Source organism: Homo sapiens, chromosome 4, assembly GCF_000001405.40.
Source record: "Homo sapiens chromosome 4, GRCh38.p14 Primary Assembly".
NCBI classification, from domain to species: domain Eukaryota; kingdom Metazoa; phylum Chordata; class Mammalia; order Primates; family Hominidae; genus Homo; species Homo sapiens.
In genome coordinates this window covers 182,260,502-182,282,976 of record NC_000004.12, presented here as the reverse complement: position 1 = coordinate 182,282,976, position 22,475 = coordinate 182,260,502, and the positions used below count along the sequence as shown (strand labels likewise).

Below are 22,475 nucleotides of genomic sequence, written 5' to 3'. Positions count from 1 at the left end.
TAATAGTTCATAAAATATATTACTGATATAAGCATGTACTAGGAGATATTTAACTATAAATTTTTTTTTTTTTTTTTTTTTTCTGAAATGGAGTCTCACTCTGCCACCCAGGCTGGAGTGCAGTGGCATGATTTTGGCTCACCACAACCTTTGTCTCCTGGGTTCAAGCAATTCTCCTGACTCAGCCTCCCAAGTAGCTGGGATTACAGGCGCGTGCCACCACATCCAGCTAGTTTTTGTACTTTTAGTAGAGACGGGGTTTCACTATGTTAGCTAGGCTGGTCTCAAACTCCTGAGCTCAGGTGATCCGACTGCCTAGGCCTCCCAAAGTGCTGGGATTACAGGTGTGAGCCACTGTGCCCGGCCCATTTAACCATAAATTTGTATCCAGTATCTTTTCTAGTTTTCTAACAAAAATTTCAGGTTCCAGACAAGCAAAGGCACATTGGTACTCCGCACTTACTTTCACTTACCGATGACAGCCACTTTCGATTGTCATATTTACATGCTATTAACACACTGAAACTACTCTTGAAGAAAATAATGCAAAACTCTACATAGAAAATAATGAAAATTTTATCTTTGCTTCTTTAACACAGCACATGACAAAGCATATACTAATATAATGAAGAAATCACAGAACTTGATATAACTATCCATATCCTCACTACTGTCCTTGAAATAACTTGGCAATTACCTTGAAGATGCCCATCCCTCCTAATGTTTGGGGTTGGGCATGCCTATGGGAAGGGCACTGCATTGTAAGACTTCTTGACTTTTCATCAAGGTCCACTGGTATTTGAATTATAAAGCATTTTCTAAATGTTGCTTTAAACCACATATTTCTTGTTGATTTTTTAACAGCTGGCAGTAATAAACACTTAATTGCTGGACAATAATTACCACACTACCAATTAAAATTAAATTTTAAAATGACGATGGGCCAGGCATGGTGGTTCATGCCTGTAATCTCAGCACATTGGGAGGCCGAGGCGGGCAGATTACCTGAGATCAGGAGTTCGAGACCAGCCTGGCCAACATGGCGAAACCCTGTCTCTACTAAAAATACCAAAATTAGCCGGGTATGGTGGTACACATCTGTAATACCAGCTACTCTGGAGGCTGAGGCAGGAGAATCGCTCAAACCCAGGAGGTGGAGGTAGCAGTGAGCTGAGATCACACCACTATTCTCCATCCTGGGCAACAGTGAGACTTCGTCTGAAAATAAATAAAATAAATAAATAAATAAAATGATGATGTATTACTATAACATGTTAGAAATCTGGCACATCTGAGTTATAATTAAGTAGTTTGGGTTCTACAGCCAGATGTGGTAGTGTGTGCCTGTAGTCCTAGCTGCCCAGGAGTCTGAGGTGGGAGGATTGTTTGAGCCCAGGAGTACAAGACCAGCCCGGGCAATATAGCAAGACCTTTGTCTCAAAAAAAACCACCACCACCACCACCAACAACAAAAAACTTGGTTTCTGCTCCTTTGAGCTGAAATTTCAACATGAAAAGAGACTATGGTAGTATTGTTTTCTTCTCAATGTTGGGCTATATTTAATGTAATAGTGAGAGGGTTTATAATGCCCAAAAGATCTTTGGGGAAAAAAGGAAGTCTTATTTTCTCATTCATGTCCAACCTATGGGAATATCTTTAAATATATCTGTTATTAAAGTGACAATTACATAGACAAATGCTAACAAAATGCATGCTATTATAGTATTAAATATTTCTAAATTGCAGGAAATTCTACCAAGGCTGTCACACTTAATCATTAAAGATAGGATGACCATATGTCCCAGTGTGGCTGGATAATCCCTATTAAAGAAAAAAATGATAGCTTTACAACTTAAAGATGTGAAGGAGACTGGAGTCAACCTCTTACTCAATGAGTTTTTTACTTTATTAAAGGGGAACAGGAGGAGTTTGTAGGAGAAATTACCCGACAGATGAGCAGCTGACAATCAGTAGTGCTGCCTACTACTGTGTTCTCCCAGAACCACGTCATTTTAGACATGAAAGAAGTATCTAGTCTAGTGGTTTACAAACTCTGCTTCTCGAGGCTCCTTAGGGGATTTGCTGCTGGTAACTTAGAGGCTACTTGGCAAAGAGGCAAAACCTTCACTCTCATTCAAGAGATCCTCTCCACTCTTATCTGTTTTACATAAGATTTCCAAAGTTGGCTTAACAAGGTTTGAAGAGATCCCTTTTTGTAGATGATGCCCAGAGAAGTGGCAAGTCCAATTGACCCGCCAGGTTTGTGGCACAGATGTAATCAGCACAGAGGTGTCTGTCTGGATGGGACTCAATTTTCCGTACCGCGCCAACTCAGAGGCTGATCTGGTTACTGAAATGAGGCTTCTGATGTGCAACAGGAAGAGGAGAAGAAAAGGTCTATTTTTATGCCATGAGTCAGGTTCATACTTAGTAAGAATAGATTTTCCATAAAAATAGAAATTATCTATTCTAAAATTTTGGTTGAAAAGAATTCCATTCTATGTGAGTAAGAGATAAACTGTCAATGTTCCTCTTTCCTCCTTATTCAAGAATATATAAATCTCAGTGATTATAACTTCCAGTGACTATGATGGACTGGTTGGAAGCAGTGTCTCTGCCTCCCAAAATGTAGAACACACAGAAATATTGAATAAAATACACATTTTTCAAAGAGTGCAATCAAAAAATTTATGTGGCCCACCTTGAAAACAAAAAAGGAAAACCTCTGGGAGCAAGACCCCGTGGGGGAAACTGAGAGCCTAAAGCAGGGGCCTCACTAAAGTCGAGCGGCCAAAAGAAGTCTCCAACTGAATGGTCATTTAAAGGACAGGAGTTTTGATGTCCACACTGGGTCCAGGAACTGGGGAAGCTGGATTTTCTCACTGCATGAACCTGGTGATGAAAAGGACACTCCAATCTCTGAGAAAATGTTCAGGAAAAATTCTACCCATGGCTCCATTATCTGGCCATGGAGGTGCTCAGGTCACTGGTGGAGAAAGTCTTTTTGAAAGAGGAGAACCTGAAGTGTCTGCAACGTGTGGGTTTCAAGGCAATATTTTTACAATGCTTGTGAACTCTTGATTGAGATATTAAATAAAAACTGGTATGAAACCCTTAGGGCCCAGCAGAGGCAAATGCAAAAGTATTCTACAGGGACACCACAGAGCTCCTGGGATGTGACCAAAGATGAGTTTACAGCAAAAATTATAAAGCATATGGAGAAAATGACTATTCTGCGATCCACTATGGGCAGAAAGCATACTCCATGAACGACAGAACAAGAGAAGAATCTAAAAAAGATAATCATAATAATAAAAGAAAACACAGACTATATAAATGGCTCATGAGCATGACCTACATCCTTATTTCCTGCTCCCACTTTCTTTTATATATTTAATAATTATGTACACCCGAGTATCTGTCTTTATAGACTGCTAGCTCTTTGAGGCCAGACTTCAACGATGGCTTGTTCATCAAATTGTCTCAAGGCACAGGGCCCTGCCTTGCATGTGGGAAAACAGGCAATGCACTCAAAATGTCATCTACATGTATGTCCAATACAGGCATTTCATTGCATTTCCAGACTATGAGGAGTACTGATCGACATTTTATACTAAAGATGATAATAATAATTCCAAGTAATCATATTATAAGCAATATATCTCTTTCTTAATATATACATATATTAATACACACATATATATGCATATATATAATCTGTCATATTCAACAAAATATTTTAAAAGCGCACACAGAAAAAAGGAAACCAAATACCTTGCTCTGATGAAAGAGCTAAAGCAAATAAAGACACTGCGGATCACTCAAGGGAAGGCAGTCATTTTAGTAACTGATGTGGGTTTTCATAGGCTAGCTAAGCAACTTCGAATTGCTGGTTTGTGCAGTGCTGCGAGAGATCCTTCCCTGCTCTTAGGTCCGTGCCAGATCCTTGCAGCGGCCCCTGCCCCGACCTGGTGTGCAATCCCTTCTCTTGTCTTCAAGCGCAGCCTCCAGAGCTTGGCAGCCCTCGGGCTTGTCCAGAGCCTCCTCTTCTGTGGCACTTACTGCCTGTGCTGTTCGTTTCAGCACAAAACATGGAGCCCGCAGCGCATGACATAGGGTTTTGTCTTAAATCTCTTGTTATCCCCAAACCTACACTAGCACCATGCTGCACACAGTTAGTGCTCCACCAATTTTCATCTCTATTGATGACAGGCCAGCTCCACTGTATGCGCTGGAGGCATTCATTAATCAAATCACGAAATGTCACAGAGGGATGGAGCTGATTTCCACCTCCTTTTTTTTTTTTTTTTGCACACTGGGGACTTCAGGCACTGGGAAAGGGCATGTGATAAGCCAGTGGTGAGGTAGGCCCAGGATATGTGACTTCCAGACACATCTCATTTCCTTTATGATAGTCACCTTCATCATCATACCAACCAAAGCTGATGTTGATTGGGGTTTATTATGGACCATGCACTCAGCAGCCCCAGCAGATAGTTCTTAGTACTATTTCCATTTTACAAGGAAACAGAAACTCAAAGAGGTTAAGCTGCCCAGCTCACCCAGCTAGTACATTTCTTTTTTTTCTTTTTCTTTTTTTTTGTTTTTGAGATGGAATTTCGCTCTTGTTGCCCAGGCTGGAGTGCAATGACTAGACCTCGGCTCACCGCAACCTCCACCTCCCAGGTTCAATCTATTCTCCTGCCTCAGCCTCCCGAGTAGCTGGGATTACAGGCATGCGCCACCACACCCAACTAATTTTTGTATTTTTGGTAGAGACAGGGTTCCTCCATGTTGGTCAGGCTGGTCCTGAACTCCTGACCTCAGGTGCTCTGCCTGCCTTGGCCTCCCAAAGTGCTGGGATTACAGGCGTGAGCCACCGTGCCTGGCTGCTAGTACGTTTGTTATTGGCAGTTAATTACTTCTCAGTTCTGGTCTGCATGGAAAAATATCAATGGCAAAAGAAACAAACAGGATCCAGGCCAAGAAATGGAGGATTCCTGTAACAGGGTTGAGGGCGGTAGGGAGTGGGTCCCACCAGCTAACTCCTTGTCCTCTCCCTGAGTTGTAAATGTTATCTAAGTATATCTAAGTAATTTTGCACTACTGTTTAAATAAAAGGATTCTTCTAAAAATTTCCTCAGGTGCTTAGAATTTAAAATTGCCTGCTGAGCAGCATTTATTGATAGAACTGGACCACTTGGTAAAATAAAGAAAAAAGTAGTGATTTTACTGGCAACAAGAGCAGTTTTGCCTTCAGTAGTTGGATATGGTAGAGAACTGGGACTCTATCCTATTTTGTCATCCCTTCATAAGGCAACGCCGTACTGCTTAGATAATTCACTTGTTCCCAGGAGATGTCTAGCCTAACAACACAGCCAGAAGGGCCCTACTATTATGAGTGAAGAGTAGCTATAAAAATAAACAATAATAGCAACCAACATTCCTTTGTTCTGAATGGGAAGCTTATTATTCCATCTACCTTTGAGCAACCCACAGCCCAAAATGTAGTGTATAATTTTGCTTTTTAACAGTTTCATATTAAAGAGTGCTTGAAAATACCTGGTTTCTCTGAAACAGATGGAAAAGAAGACAATAAAAAAATTAAAAAAACAACAACCCCCACCCCCCAACTCTACCTCTGTGAACATACTTGCCTAACATAAGGTTTCTCTGAAATGAGATATTTTCACCCCAGGAAAAATCTGTGGATTTGGTTAACATTGCTATCTAATCTGGCACTGCATACTCAACATAAACTAATTCCACCAAACTCCATCTTATTCTGACCACACTGCAGAATTTCTAAGCCTATTATTGCCTGGTTTATGCTTTTTCTTTAAACATTCCCAAGTAATAGGACCTGACCTCACAGAAAAGCTGTTTTAATATTGCCATTTTATTTTCACATCAGGACATTTTGTTCAGACGTAGACATCAAAGGCCATTGCCAAAGAGGCCTTTTATAAATGCTTCTTGCTCTTTCCATACTATCCTTCATATTAATGAAAGTAAAATTAACACAGCTCTTTCTGTTTCACAAGGTAGTCCTGTTTACAGGACTGAGCTGAGTTCAGTGTTTACAACACAGAGCTGAGTTCATTTCATTTTACTTAGCAGACTTTATGCCCAGCAGAGAGATATCAAAGTTTGCCAAGTGGAAAGCTCTATATATACATACAGACGAAATATATGAAATACGTCACTTTGAAAGATAATAAGCAGAAGGTAAACAATAGGAAATCAGATAACCTAAGAAAATTCAGCTGATAATTTTCACTGAAACATTATTTCCTCTAGGCAAATAACATAGTTAAGTGCTGCACATTATTTAAAATAATTGGACAGCAGTGCTTAAAAATATGGCCAAGATTAGTTCACGTTCAGTGGGAAAAGACCTTTGATGATTTTATTGAAAATTTGTTTATAATAATGTTTACTGATTCTTGGCATTTAAACAAGTGTAACACCGCAAGTCCTCTGGAGACAGGTTCGCATTCGAGTCAAAGGCTTGATGGAAACCTTATGCTCTTTTCAACACCTTATCACAAATGTTATCTCAAGAGGGCTAGAAGAATGAAAGGCCTAAAGAGTGTTCTGCCCGTTTAAACACTAAAACATGATGTCATGTATGGTTACCTGATAACCGTTTAAGTTGACTTGAATTCTATTCTTTTCACGTGATAAAAGGTCAATGAGAGACATCTGGTTTGACCGTAAAGGGCAAAAACCTCTCATGCTCTGTGCTTATGTGGAAAATGATGTGTCTGCTCCAATGTTACTGATATTTCTGTTCCAGGATCACACCAAAGACCCTCTCTTTTTGGATCTGTGGGCTCTCTGGTGCCTAAGCCTGGCCAGCCCCCTCTTTAAATCCCTGCCCAGCTGGAGACTTCTCATTACTCAGGTCTCAGTGCAAATTCACTCCTGAGAGAGGCCGTGCTTGACCAGCCAAGTCAAGCAGCTCCCTTATTCCTCTAACACATAACACCTTAAAAAAATTTTTTTTGATTGATTGACTGATAATTTTTTAAAAGAGATCAGGTCTTGCTCTGTTGCCAGGCTGGAGTGCAGTGGCATGATCATGGCTCACTGCAACCTCAAACTCCTGGGCTCAAGTGGTCCATCCTCTCACCTCAGTCTCCTGAGTAGCTAGCACTTCAAGCATGCGGCACCATGCCCAGTTAATTTCTAAAACTTTTTGGAGAAATGGGTCTTGCTATGCTGCCCAGGCTGGTCTCAAACTCCTGGCCTCAAGCAATCCTCCTGCCTTGGCCTCCCAAAGCACTGGAATCACAGGTGTGAGCCACCACACCTGCCCCATAACATCTCTCTTCTTTTTTTTTAAAGAGTACTTACTATGCTCTAAAATTATCTTATCTGTTCACTTCTCCATTACCCCAGCAAAATACCAAAGTTTCACGAAAACAAGGATCTTTATTTCCACTTTATTCCCAGGGCCTAGAACACTGCTTGTCACACTGCAGGTGTTCTGTCAAAATCTGCCTAAGGAATGCCTGTGTGGTGGTGTTGAGAAAGCCAAGTAATGTTTCCACAAATCTGAGGGTGAAAGCAAGTACAGTGTAACAGATGCCAGGAACAACGTGAAGAATAAGACACACTACTTGCCCTTGAAGAGCTCCCAAGCTGCAAGTGTGATGTCTCATACGTGCCCAGGGGCAAGTCCTGCACCTGTTTCTTATGGTCTTTCCTGCTAAACAGGGATGATGTGTAAAAATGGCCATCACACCTGGTTCAGGAGAGCCAGCACACAGGAGGAAACTCTGCCATTACACGAGACGACAATAAAAACTAACCAACTAATCAACACTCCAATTAAATAAAAAATACTGCTGGGTGCGGTGGCTCAAGCCTATAATCCCAGCACGCTGGGAGGCCAAGACAGGTGGATCACTTGAGGTCAAGAGCTCGAGACCAGCCTGACCAACATGGTGGAACCCCATCTCTACTAAAAATACAAAAATTAGCCAGGTGTGGTGGTGCGTGCCTGTAATCTGAACTATGCGGGAGGCCGAGGTGGGAGGATTAGCTTGAACCCGGGAGGCAGAGGTTGCAGTGAGCTAAGATGGCACCACTGTACCCTAGCCTGGGCGACAGAGCAAGACTCCATCTCAAAATAATAATAATAATAAATACTAAACCAACAAATAAATTAGAGACCACTGGACTTAAACTCAGAAATAGCCATTTAATCTCAAGGTATTCTGTCTATGTACTCTAAAAGTAATCATTATCTTGCAAGTTTCAGAGCTCAAATACAAAGTCAAATGACCTCAGCTTTAATTTGGTAGACTTTCTACGTATCTGCACTTATTTACATTTCAGAAACTCAGCATCCACGCCCAGGATGCTGCGGTTAAGCAGGCCTCCTTCAAGTGATGGAGGTAGAACACGGCGAACATGCGACCCCAGTCAAACTCACCCTCCTCACTCACCTCTTTCAATATCCAAACACGTCCTCACTCCACTTTGCCTCTGAACAGTCATCACTGAAGGTGACAAAGCTGCCAAGGACATCTTTTTGTTGCCATGCCAAACACTATATCGCTCCTTAGGGCTCAGTGGAAGCCGGGATTCCTGTCATCTCAGGAGTATCTCCTTTCTCCTCTCTGGGGAGGGCTTCCTGTGAATTAGGAGGCCTCTCCGTCCTTGCCCTGATCAAAATGCTTTCTTTATGACACTAAATAAAAAATGTAGAAGACTACAATGTACAAAACCAAGTGTAGCTTGTGTGAATTACCTATCCACCAGCTCAAACATTTTCTTAGCCCAGCTTCCCCTAGAAGTTTCTTCTCATGCTACTACCGTGATGTTAGCATTTTCTACTTTCTTTGAAGTCTCTTTCCATTTCCTTTTCAGTTTGCCCTGCTCACTCATTCTGGCCTCCAGCAAGACTGTCCCTATATGTTTCTTTCACATTGTTGCTGATTCTTTCTCTTGCTCTAACAGGTCCATTGTAGGGAGAAAGAACACCTGTATGTATACTTGAGAAGATGCTATTCTTATTTAAAGCATTAATAGGAGAAACATCCTTCCTCGAAAGATAACTATTTCCATGCTTTAATCTTTAGAATACAAAGCTCCTTCATTAAATTTAAACCAAAATATTTTTGTAAAGCTCAAATTTCCGAATTGGCATTCCTTCACACTTCTCAATTTACACGTCCCTTTGTCAAAGGAAAACAGGGTATTCACTGCTGGAAATTGCCTTGTGTTGAATGTGGCCTGCTCCTCAAGTCTGAATAGGGTAGGCCAAGCTCTTGGAGTGTTTTTGTCCTGATTTTTCTTTAATTGTTTTGCACCTGCCTTCTAACAGAATGTACATATTTTCCTCTTACAATCAGCATGTATCAATGAAATGCGGTACAATCAATGAGAGCTTCCTGGAAGATGTTTGAGAGAATAAGGATATTCGGCCAAAAAGGAACAAAGCAGGGACTTGTATTCTTATCATGTTACTGATTCACTCACAAGAGTAAAGAATAGCTCGCCCTAATCAGGCTTCTTGGGGTGAATTCCCCCAAGTGAATTATCTGTCTTTCAAAAATCTGACAGGTATAATTGGAGAATGCAAAATGCTTATCTTCTGGAAATTATCTCAGGTCTAAGAACGTGAACTCTGGAGCCAAACCACTGAGCTTAAACCCCAGCTATATAGCATGTATAAGTAGTGAAATCGCAGGCAAACGTCTTAACCTCTTCAGAGCTGTGCTTGACAGCACCTCCCTCTCCCAGGGCTGTCGGGGGATCGACTGAGAGGGCATAGTGCCCAGCACCTAACCTGTGTTCAAACAGTGTTAGTTATTTTGTTATGATTATGTCTGGAAGATTGGTCTGTTTCCACCAGAGGATATTAAACCATATCATCTTCTCCATATTCATCCCAGTTACAACCATCTTCACTGACCACCTGGTTACGCTCCTCTCCTCAACCCTCAAGACTAACTCACAATCAACTGTCTTTTACAAACTTAAATCAAACCTTGTCACTCCCCAGTTTAAAACCCTTCCAGATCCTGCAGGACTCATACCGCAGGTACCTACGAGTCTCTGATGCTCCCAACCCCTGCACCTGAAGGAAACCATCTCACTCAGCCATTCTCTCTCATGGTGCTTCATTCATGTCACTCACAGCACCTATCCCAAGCTGAAATCATTGCAGTAATGTATGTTCTTGCACACTGACTTTTCTCTTCTCTAGATTATAAACTCCATGAGGGTAGGGACCATGTCTGTCTTCTTCACCGTCAGAGCCCCAGAAGCTCCATAAACGTTCAACAAATAAATAATATTCAGTTTTATCATTATGACTAGTAACCATTACTTGAGTGTCGTGTTGGCATGAAGGACTTCCCTGTAGTAATTCAACAGCTTGCCTCTGCGGGAAACCAGTGGCCTAAGCTTGACAAAGTTTGTGAGTTCTTATGTATGTGTCGTAGTTCTGTTTCTGCCCTTGTTCTCAGAGGGTCAGCTTGGCGTTTCTGCAGGCTGGCCTCTCGGAAGATTTGCTCTCGTCTCATTTCATTTGTTTCTTTATCTGGTGAATCTCCAGCAAGTCTGTCATCACCATATCTAAACCTGTAGTAAATCAACTCTAGGTGGTTTTTCCAAAGAGCAATGCGTTGTTACTTTAGAGGAATGTGGGAAATATTTGAGACTGCTGGGACATTTATTTTGCTTGCTTACTAATTCTTGGCTGAATTACAGTGTGGAGGATTGAGATTAATGACCTATAGTTAAGTAAGTCGTTATTATGGAAAAGAATGCAAACTAAATATTTCAGTCTACGGAACCTTTGCAAAAATACGTCGACTCAATAAATAAGACATCTATACCTCGAACTCATGTAGGTGGAAATGGGTGGACCAAAATTTTGGGTTATGTTCACTATACAATAATTCACCCTATATTTTTATATCTCTGTTGAGAGCTGTGTGGAGACAAACCACATCTAATCAGCTTAAACTGGCCGAACGGTCACGAGGACTGCGCAAGGGCAGAGCTGCCGCCTGTTCACACACCCTCCGTGAAGTCACCTGGCAAATCCCTGCTGCACCTGCTCTCACAGAAAAAATTAACAATAAGAAGCATCTCAGAGCTGAGATTAGACTTTTAGACCCTCCTGCGCAATAATCCTTTCTTCGACATTGACTTTCTTTGTGGGGTTTGGCAAATCAGTTTTCTCCTCTATAATACAGGGATAATAACGCTTTAGTCAAATGGATGCTGTGAGAATTAATTACCGTTATACAATTTATTGAAGATGGGAAGCCCCGTAAAAATATCGCCACTGCTTATAGGATTGAGGTTCCGAGACAAAGGCATCACACATAGCAAAGAAATCAAAACATCTCTAAATCCCCACTGTTTCTTTCTCTCCCAGTGTCCTCCTTCTTAACTCAGGTGAAAACTAGGCAAAATAATTTTCAAGGACATGTCCCCTTCTTCTGTGACAAGAATTGAAATGCACAACTGGACCCACCTGTTCCTGATGTCCTGCGCCTCCACCTATGCATGGTGGAAGGACGGGAAGGCCTTATTTACCGATGATTGCAAGGGGGAGAAAAAAGAGCTTTTGTTTCCTATGCAATTCTTCTGACCCTGAACCAGGGTCTTTCTAAATCAATGGATGCCCTAAAGACTAAATTTCAGGGAAAGGTCTTTTCAGCCGCACTTAGGAAGGGGGTGGTTAGGCTTTGAACTGTCAAGAAAGAAGAATAAGTCCTGCTGTAAGGCGATAACTAGCTGGTTACAAAGATTGAATCCTGTTCTACAGAAACAGGATCGGTTATAATAAACACTAAGAGCCCTCAAGACTCTGGTTGTCTTAGCAGGAGGAATTTCTATGTCCTGAACTATAGTTTTAAAATGACCAGAGATAAGAGAACACGGGTTCCACAGGAATTAAAGAAGGCAGGTATTTGATTTTGTTCCAAAACCAAAATAAAGCAACAGAATGCAAAATACTACCTATTATCAGTGCTTGTGTGACGCTTATTTTTACACAGTGTCAATCAACCCAGGATCCACGACTTGGGCTGAATGTAGGGATAATGCGATTTTCAGGGGGATTTCATAGTAGCGTCAGAGATACTGCAGTTTTGAAGTGAGCTCTAAGAATATTAAAAAATTAAGAATATTCTGACTATAGATTCTCCATCTTTAGAGGGTCCAGACTGTAAGCATTGATGAATTTAACCTATCAGGTTATACACAAACATTTCCTGAAAGTGAGAATTTTGAGTGTGTACCTTAGGTCTCTGTAGATGTCCTTCTATCTTGGTCCCCCATGCTCTTTCTTTCTTTATTTTGTAAACCAAAAATAAAATCCTAAGCCTCCAACAGACTGAACAGATGCCACTCTGAGCCAAGGGGACCCTGGAGAAACCTGAAAAACTGAATTCCAGATCAAGACTGGAAGGGAGGTCAGACACGCCTCCTATACCTTCTCCTTTGGAGTTTAGCCAAAATTGACCAGCACTAACGTTAAAATAGAAATCATAAGACTAATGAAACAAGATTCTTTGTGTAGCAATAAGATACCAAATTCCACCTTCAGTCTGGAATAGCATCACATGACAGATAGCAGACCTTGAAGGAAATCAAAATATTTTACCCCCAAATATATTTCTTTGGCATATTCTTAAATGAACCTGTAAAGCCATCTTTCATGGGGGGAATTAGCATCTACAGAGAATTTCCATTAATACAGCTGGGATTAGGATCTAAGAGAGATTAACTAAGAGTGATACCTTCTAAGGTCTGAAGAGACAGTTGCCATCTATTCTCTCTGAAGGCTGCTACCCGGAGGCTTCGTCTACATAACAAGAACCTAGGCTTCCACAACCCCCCTTATCTTAACTCAGGCAATTTTTTCCATTGACTTCAAGTCTTAGACAAAGCTTAACTCTTTCAACCAATTGCCAATTAGACAATCTTTGAATCCACCTATGATCTGTAAGCCCCCAATGCTCCTTATCCCCACTTCTGGATGCCCCAACTTTCTGGGCTAAACCAGTGTATACCTTACGTGTGTTGATTTATGTCTTTGCCTGTTACCCCTGTCTCCCTAAAATGTATAAAACAAAACTGTGAGCCAACCTCCTTGGGTACACTTTCTCATGACTCCCTTGAGACTGTTCCCCGAGCCATGGCCATTCATATTGGCTCAGAATAAACCTCTTTAAATCTTTTACAGAGTTTGGCTTTTTTTCATCAGCAATTTTCCCTTAATTACGATAACTGGGTGTGCTTTTCCTTAGAAAGAGGATATGGATTAGATAATCCTCAAGGTTCTCTCCAATCTTACTTTCCAAGGATTAGTCCCCTTAGTTTTGAACCTCAGATGGAGAGGAAGTCAAGCAGGGAGGCAGCCAGAGTTTGTCCGATTTTTAGATCTATAAAGGGGAGGGGGCCTGTACAGGGAGGGGCTGATTCCTTGTTGGCTTGGGTGACATCTTCTCTCAGTGATCGTCTACTTAATTCCTACACTCAACAGCATTTAGAGAGTCACTTCCGGGCACCAAGTCTTTAACTTTCCCTTGGCCAACTGTCCAGTACTCTCACATCTATATTTTGTGAAAAATAAATCATTTTGCTATAATGTCTCCTTCCTCTATGATTTTTCCTTTCTTGCCCCTGCAGACATCTGAATCCCTTTCAGGGTTTAGTGGCTGGGGCTGTGACATGCCTCGCTCATCCATGCTCTGATTCTGTCCTCACAGAAACACCCCTGAAGACCAACACAAACTCTGCCATAGATTTACACCCACGTCAAAGGGATGGATAATCTCCCACACCTGTCAAAAACTAGCATTTCCGAACTGTCCATTTCAAGAGCTCTGTATTAATATTGTGAGTCATTTGAATACTATTTTTTTTTAAAGAGCAAAGTTTGAATATATTCAACATCTTTGTCACAGGACAAAGAAATATGTTACAGGAAAGGGGTCCCCATCCAGATCCCAAGAGAGAGTTCTTGGATCTCACACAAGAAAGAATTCAGGGCAAGTTCACAGTCCAAAGTGACAGCAAACTTACTTAGTAAAGGAATAAAAGAATGGCTACTCCATAGACAGAGCAGCCCCGAGGGCTGCTGTTTACCCATTTTTATGGTTATTTCTTGATGATATGCTAAATGAGGGGTAGATTATTAATGCCTCCCCTTTTTAGACCATATAGCAGAACTTCCTGATGTTGTCATGGCATTTGTAAACTGTCAGGGTGCTGGTGGGAGCACAGCAATGAGGACAACCAGAGGTCACTCTTGTCATCATCTTGGTTTTGGTGGGTTTTGGCCGGCTCCTTTACTGAAAACTGTTTTATCAGTAAGGTCTTTATGATCTGTATTTTCTGCTGAGCTCCTATCTCATTCTGTGACTTAGAATGCCTTAACCATCTGGGAATGCAGCCCAGTAGGTTAGACTCATTTTACCCAGCTCCTATTTAAGATAGGGTTGCTCTGGTTCACAAGCCTCTGACACATTTCCCCCCTCCCTTTTATAAGAGAACCCTTCATTTTAAGGGTTGCAGAGGGACGAAGACTCATCTTTTGTAATGTTTTTAGGCTGAATAGGGGCAATGATATTTTTGCCTAAGTATGAGGGTCTTTTACATTTAGGGTAGAGAGGAGCTCAGTCAGAAAGCATGTATGGTAAGGTTTATTTATAACTCTTGAGTTTCAACAAAAGGAGATACTGGAAGATTAATAAGTGTTTAAGAAAACATTCAGTAAGCTTGTCCTGTATTCCTTGTCCTGTATTCCTATACAAAGAGTATATCAGCAATATATTCCACAAGAGGAAAGTAAAATAAGTAAAGTTATTTCAAGTAAACTAAATTAGAAGGCTTTTTTATGAACTGGGCAACTATTGGAACTAAGCTGACATGGGGTTGTTAGCTGATTGTAATGCGCCCAGAATGAGAATACTGATCAGATTTCTACATTACCCATCCCTCTTGTCTCTTCTGAGTAACAGTCAGAGATCACTGGTTGGTTCACAGGAATAAGCAGGGTTAGCCTAGATTGCAGAAATAAACTTAAAAACAACTGATGAGACTAGAATCTAATAACAAGTGTACCATAGTTTTTGAAACATAATATTTCTCTTTCTGGTTTCCCATTTTTATTAAAGACAAATCATGGTAAGACTGATTTGCTTTATTATACTTGGGATGATTACTTGTATAAAGTGTAGCAAGAAATAATTATTTTTCACATAAGCTTTTTTTTTTTTTTTAAATTGGCTTTGATGGAACTTTGTTCCACAGAAGGAATTTCAGATAAGACTTTTTTAAAGCTGAGCCCAGTCATGGGTTTGCACACTCCAATATCTGTGAATTGGGTAAATTTCTTTTCTCTTGAAGTCCCAAGATAACTTGAGGCTTCTGGACTTGTTAGAAAGTGACATTTTTTTACTTACCACAGGCTAGAAACCCTGTACAGGGACTGTTTTAGGCAAGGTATGAGGTTGGTTCCCTATGGGGCTTGTATCAGCTCTAAAAATTAAGTTTAATTCCTTAAAGGAAAACACACTATTCCAGTCAAAGCCTTGGCAAAATAATCACTTTTTCCAATTGTGTCCTGTTACAAAAGAAAACAGATTCTTATTGTACCTATGCAAATAATTATATTGCCATAAGTTAAGAATACTGACAACTAGTTCCTAAATTCTGGAGAAATTAGGTAGAGAGAAATAAATATGCCTTAAATTTTGTTCATAGGCATACACTCAACTGTTAAAAGCTGTAAATAACTCAAAAGAAAAGTTTTCTTGACTCTGAAAAACAAAGGATTAGCAACATTTCAAGCAAAGTTAAAAAGATTAGACTTCATCAGTTTAGTCCATGTAGTTAACTTTTGTTTGATAGTTATGAACATTTTAGTTTTCTATGAGAGTTTTGAAAGTTTTTTCCTTTAGTTTGATGTTACAATCTCCAGAGTTATTAGAAAACCTGCATTTAAGAACACCTGCTAGAGTTCTATAGTTGATTATAAACCACCTTCTAAAGAGGATTAAAACAAGACAACAATTGTCTGTGGATGATAAAAAGTTTTAGGACAGCCACTATTAAAGCCACAATTGATAAGGAAATTTGGTTACTTCTGTGGCACACAAAATTTTACATAACAATTATAATTATTAATAACATACACTAAATTATATTAGAATGATAGGAGTTTCCCATAACTTCGGAACATATGCCAATAATACATTTATGCAAATAGACTCCAAATAAAGCAAAACACCATTTCACATTTAATAATGCTTCCTGTATGATTTTTATATCAAATATGCCAAATTTTACCTTTATGTTAATGTACTATTCATGTTAAACCCAATTTTTAATAAAACCTTATAGATATATTTACCCATTTGTAATGTTTAACCATAAGGTAAGATTCTTATAAACCTTTTATAACCCTTTACTTTTTTTGTGAAAGAGCAGATTAATGCTTTAAGAAAAACCTGCTGTGCTTCTATTCCAATGTTGAATTTACAGAAAAACTGAATAATACCCTTTTAACTTTAGCCAGTATGTTCACACACACTCTCTTACAATTAATTTTTAGAAGTTTTCTACAACTTGTTTAAACCTAACAATTCTTTGACATTTTAATTTAGGCAGAAAAAAATCCACATTCCCATGACTTCTTACAATCTTCTACCAAAAACACATTTTACTTTCTTTACATACCTTGCAGGTAAAATTGTTACTTTAACAGTTTTAATTACATGTTATAATGTTAACTCTTAGCAACTTCTATTTTTGGTGAAAACCATAGTAAATTAGAGATTTTAATTACGTACTAGGTGTGGAGTCTATCCAGGACACACCGGGCAGAAGTGCAGATAAGAGCTGACTCTCCAGCACAGCTAGGGGGCGTGGCTAACTCCACATGTCCCCAGGCCTTAACTAGAATCTAATGGTAGGTAAGGTAGGTAAATTTTAAGGTAGGTCAATTGAACAATTTTTAAAAGTTAAAGAGGCAGTTTATGACCTTAAAGCATTTAGCAAACTTAATATTTGACTTGCATAATTTAGACTAAATGTTTTTATTTTATCAATAATTTTTAAAGCTGTTTTTATTTCTCAAAGATTACTAAAGTTACATGAACCAAAAGGCATTACAGTTTTTATGTTGCTTTTAAAATATCTGATTTAAGCACTTATTTTTATTTAAGCCAATTAACTAGAGCTCTTTTATATGAGCACTACACACAACACATATATAGCTACACAGAAAGGCAGAAGATTACAATAGTTGTAAGATGTTTTATTTGCCAGTTTTTAAATTTTTTAGTTGGATGACTGGCTTCAGGGTGGAGCCGTTGGAGGAACAGGGCCAGCATGCATTTCTAGGGCCAAATAAGCAGCAAATAAGCAAATAAGCAGCTGAAGGCAAAGACACATCCCCAAAATTAAGGGTGCTGTTTTACACTGATTCCTGGATTCCCAAAAGGAGGGAAACACTACGGGAGAAGACAGGGCTGTGATCCTACCCTGTATTTCATTGCAAGGCAGCCCAAAGCCAATCAGCCCATTTTGTCATCAGCCTATCCTTCATGGGAGTCTCATCTCCAGCGTGGGGTGGAGATGGTTCCTTATCTTCCAGGTAGCCAAGAACATGCTTCTCTGATCCAAGTGTGCAAAGAGTCAAGTATCCCTCTATCACTACTATTAGCCATCCCTTAAAGTATATTTCCTACCTAGTTATTATACACCAAAGCTCTCTTATAATGCTAAGTAATTTCTGATACCCCCAAAACTCAAAAACGTCAGATAACACAATGCAAAACAGAACAGAACCTTTGATTTTGAGAGGGAACTACCTGCCTTTAATTCCTGGGATTTCATGAGGAAAACAGAGGTTTTTTCCCAAAACGGAGTCTGTGGTGCCTCCTCTGTTTTTCTCAAGGAGTCCCAGGCTACCAGAAGTTATCTTAGGGCCTCTCGTGTGCATTAAGAGTGACAAGACAAAAAAAAAATGGAGAAAAATAATTCAGTCGACTAAGAAAAAAAAACCATTTTTCAGAAAAACAAGTTCCAAGAAGAGAAAAACATAAAGGCCTTTTAAATATATTTATAGCTTGTTTATCCACTTCTAATTAAGCTGACTTTTAACCATAGTGCTCTTTAAAAAAGAAATCCTTTCAGATTTCTTATTACCCAACTTTAGCCATGCCAAGTGGCCAATATTTTTAGTTTCTGAACTTTACCAAAGGTAACCTCCAAGATGCTCAGAGAAAGGAAAATTTAAAACAGTCCACGGAGAAGAGAAAAGACAAGGTCATGCAGATAATCAAACGAGAAATGACTTACTTTCTAGGCAGGGAATTGAACCTGGACCGCCACTGGGAAAGGGCAAAAACCTTAGCTACTGAGCTACAGCACAGGACAGTCTCTGTCTTTTTTCCCAGAAGGAGTCTAGAGTAGTTAATTTTGAGATTGCAAAGACTTTTAACTATTTAATAAGATTTTTAGAGATAACTATGACATGAACCCTCAAATTCCTGTTCCCTGGAAGGCAGAGACCAAGAGAAAGTACCGCCACGTGGTTAAAATGTAAAGTTCCCAAGGACATAAAACAACGTGGAGACTTCATCCAGTCTTTTGTTTGTTTCACGGACCTGCAGCCAAGTTTGCGACTAACCAGCTTGCTGGGCCGTCTTGAAAAGCGGGCTTGCAGGTGTTCCAAGCCCACGTTTCATCCTGAAGTACCCTCAACACAGAAAAACGAATTCATAGCTCAAAATACAGCAGCTTAAGACTAGCCTTAGAATTCTTTTTCGCATTAATCAAAACTTTACAGAAGAGATAAACACTGATTTTTTTTCATTCATTTAGCCATTTGCACAGAGAGAGAGAGAAGCCAGAAATCTGACTGGTAAAGAATTCTTACCCTTTGCCGGCAAGCCAGGCTTCTGGGTTCCCTTTCCCTGAGCGGCCCTAGTGATCCGGCTTGCGGCACCATCGCCCTGGGGGCCAAGCCGCATCATAAAGGAAAATTATTTTTTTTTCGTTCTGGCCAGAGCAAAATACAAGTGATAAAACACAGACATTAGCCACTCTGCTTAGCACCCAATATCAAATTGGCAAAGCTTAAATTTGCCCCCAGATGGGTGAGCCCCGTCATCTTTAATCCAACCTCTGACTTAAGAGTTTCGACACGTGGTCTCTGAGCAACATGGTTGCCCTGAGTAACAGAGAGATAAGAAAGGGAAAGGAGCGAATAAAAAGCACTGTCCGTGGCAGGGTGGGCAAGGCGAAATGCTCAGGGAGGCCAGAGGAAGACCTACCATTGCAGGAACACTGAAAAGTTTAGGCGGCTGAGGGTGCTGTCGTGAAGGTAGGGGGGGGAATTGCCCATGTCCCTCAATCCTGTACATGCCTAATCCCGTTACCCACAGCCATTAATAAAGAGTGCAACGCAGATGAATCCAAAGAGAACAGCAGTTAACATCTCATAGTGCCAAAGCTGTTCTTAGCAGAGGCGGACTTTATAGAGAGGGGCCTCTAACCCCCTGAATTAAGATTCAGGGGCCTCTAACCCTCCTAAGTTGGGCCTCTAACCCAAGGTCAAGCGCCTCTGCCTTTTATTAAGAGGGCAGGATCAAGGGACATGGGGAGCTCCCCTAAGATGGGCCACTAACCCAATCCCATTATTTACCCAGGAACCCACCACTTATCCACTGTCACCCAATCAGTGCTGCAGTCTATTTCCTTTGGGTCGGGGGTCTTCTCTTTGTGGTTCGCAAGACGTTATAGGACCCCCAACAACCCCTGACCCCGCGGCTCAGGGTTTCTGCACTACAGTCCCTTCGCGGTCGCCAGACATTATGTTACAGGACAGAGAAATATGATACAGGAAAGGGTCCCCATCCAGACCCCAAGAGAGGCTTCCTGGATCTCGCGCAAGAAAGAATTCAGGGCGAGTCCACAGTGCAAAGTAAAAGCAAGTTTATTAAGAAAGTAAAGGAGGGAGGCCGAGGCAGGCGGATCACGAGGTCAGGAGATCGAGACCATCCTGGCTAACACGGTGAAACCCCGTCTCTACTAAAAATACAAACAATTAGCCGGGCGTGGTGGTGGGTGCCTGTAGTCCCAGCTGCTCGGGAGGCTGAAGCAGGAGAATGGCGTGAACCCGGGAGGCGGAGCTTGGAGTGAGCTGAGATCAGGCCACTGCATTCCAGCCTGGGCGAGATTCCGTCTCAAAAAAAAAAAAAAAAAAAGAAAGTAAAGGAATAAAAGAATGGCTACTCCATGGACAGGAGAGCAGCCCCGTGGGCTGCTGGTTGCCCATTTTAATGGTTATTTCTTGATTATATGCTAAACAAGGGGTGGATTATTCATGCCTCCCCTTTTTAGACCATGGGATAACTTCCTGACGTTGCCATGGCATTTGTAAATTGTCGTGGCGCTGGTGGGAGTGTAGCAGTGAGGACGACCAGAGGTCACTCTCGTCACCATCTTGGTTTTGGTGGGTTTTGGCCGGCTCCCTTACTGCAACCTGTTTTATCAGTAAGGTCTTTATGACCTGTATTTTGTGCCAATCTCCTATCCCATCCTGTAACTTAGAATGCCTTCACTGTCCGAAAATGCACCCAGTAGGTTTCAGCCTCATTTTGCCCAGCTCCTATTCAAGACGGTGTTGCTCTGGTTCACAACACCTCTGACATGTTTGTAGAACAAGTAAATAGCTTGTGACATTTTAATAAAATTTGCTAATTACATCTTTTAAATTTCATTTAGTTGTGTCATTTATTTATTACAAATGCCATGTAGCTATGAGATGATCAGGTATGGCACTTAATTGCTGTAAAAAAATGCAGTTCTTCCTTATTTATCTTCACACACATCCATATCCGGAAACAGAGTGCTCATGCCTCCTGCCTTTCTTTACAAAGGAAACATTGATACCAACATAAGATCAGGTGGTGACTCATGATCTTGGTAATTTTTATTCAGAAAAAGGATTAAGTGACGACAGCAATTTGGGGATCCTCAAAATCAACTGTGGATGTTTTCAAATGAGCCTTTACTCTGGTCTTGTTGGAAGGCTGCCTACACGATCCACAGTGACCTGGAGGTGTGTGAAGTGTGTCTATGCAGTAAAGTTATACCACATGATTTGACTGCATAGACGACGTAATATGTAATGGCACATGTAAGACAATGATCCAGTGTTTCAGCCAACATCCTGGTGCGTTAGGACTGGGCAAGCGGGAGCATCAGCAAAGTGGTCTTGGTAGGGAATGCCCCGATTTGGATTTGGATAGTGCTGCTCTTACCAAAGCCTTTGCTGGAACAAATTTTTGCAAGTAGTCTTCAAAGCTAATATTGTATTCTATTGCTTTTCTTATTCTGTCAGATAGAGGCCATTATTCTTTAAAAGCGCATTTGTTATTTGAAACACCTAAAAGTCTGAAGTTAAGTCACATCAGTAAGGCGTGTATGACAAAACACTGAGGGACAAACACGGGGTGCTGACATTAATTAGCCCACATTCCTGTGTGTCCCCTGACCTGGCTGCCACAGGGGAGACATCACCCTCACGATGCCGGAACAGCCATAACTGCCCAAGGTGAACTCTCTGAAGGGCAATGTTCATTTTAGTGCTGGAGCTCTGGAAGGTTTTGTTTTAAAAATACTCAGCCTTTTAGAATTACAACTCACAAGCTTGTAACACTGAGTGTCCAAATCAGTGTCTCGAACTTCAGTGCATGCTAAATAAGTATGTGTTGAATGGATGAGTGACTATTTTGAAAAGAATGAATTAGGCCAGGCGCGGTGGCTCACGCCTGTAATTCCAGCACTTTGGGAGACTGAGGCAGGCAGATCATGAGGTCAAGAGATTGAGACCATCCTGGCCAACATGGTGAAACCCCGTCTCTATTAAAAATACAAAAATTAGCTGGGCGTGCTGGTGCGCACCTGTAGTCCCAGCTACTCAGGAGGCTGAAGCAGGAGAATCAACTGAACCCGGGAGGCAGAGGTTGCAGTGAGCTGAGATCACGCCTCTGCACTCCAGCCTGGGCAACAGGGCAAGTCTCCGACTCAGAAAAAAAAAAGAAAGAAAATAATGAATTAAGCTCTAGATACTTTTTATTTGCTATTTCCTGGCATTGGGATAACTGTTACAGTTCACTAACTGATGATTTTTCATAGTTGTCAGTATTATATGAGTTCAGTATGTTGATTTGATTTTCTACATTGTAGATAACATGTAAGAATAACTCATCTATTTGTCAGTGAAAGCTACACTTATACAGAAAGTACCATATGAATAAGAAACAACCTTTACTTGAAAAATCTGGGCTTTCTTTAATAGAACCATTTCAGAATTGGGGATAAATTATCAAAAACAGAAGTATAAAAAAACTGTTATTACAGACTGTCCCCAACTGTATAATTCTTATTATATCTAAGTATTATTTAGTAGGTAATAAAT

At 40.7% G+C, this 22,475-nt stretch overlaps 1 protein-coding gene across 22 annotated transcripts in view; it reads right to left on the bottom strand.

Moving 5' to 3' along the window:
* The window catches only part of TENM3 (teneurin transmembrane protein 3), a 1,355,412-nt gene that overhangs the window by 520,048 nt on the left and 812,889 nt on the right, over positions 1-22,475 (bottom strand). The gene's annotated exons all lie outside the window — the stretch shown is intronic.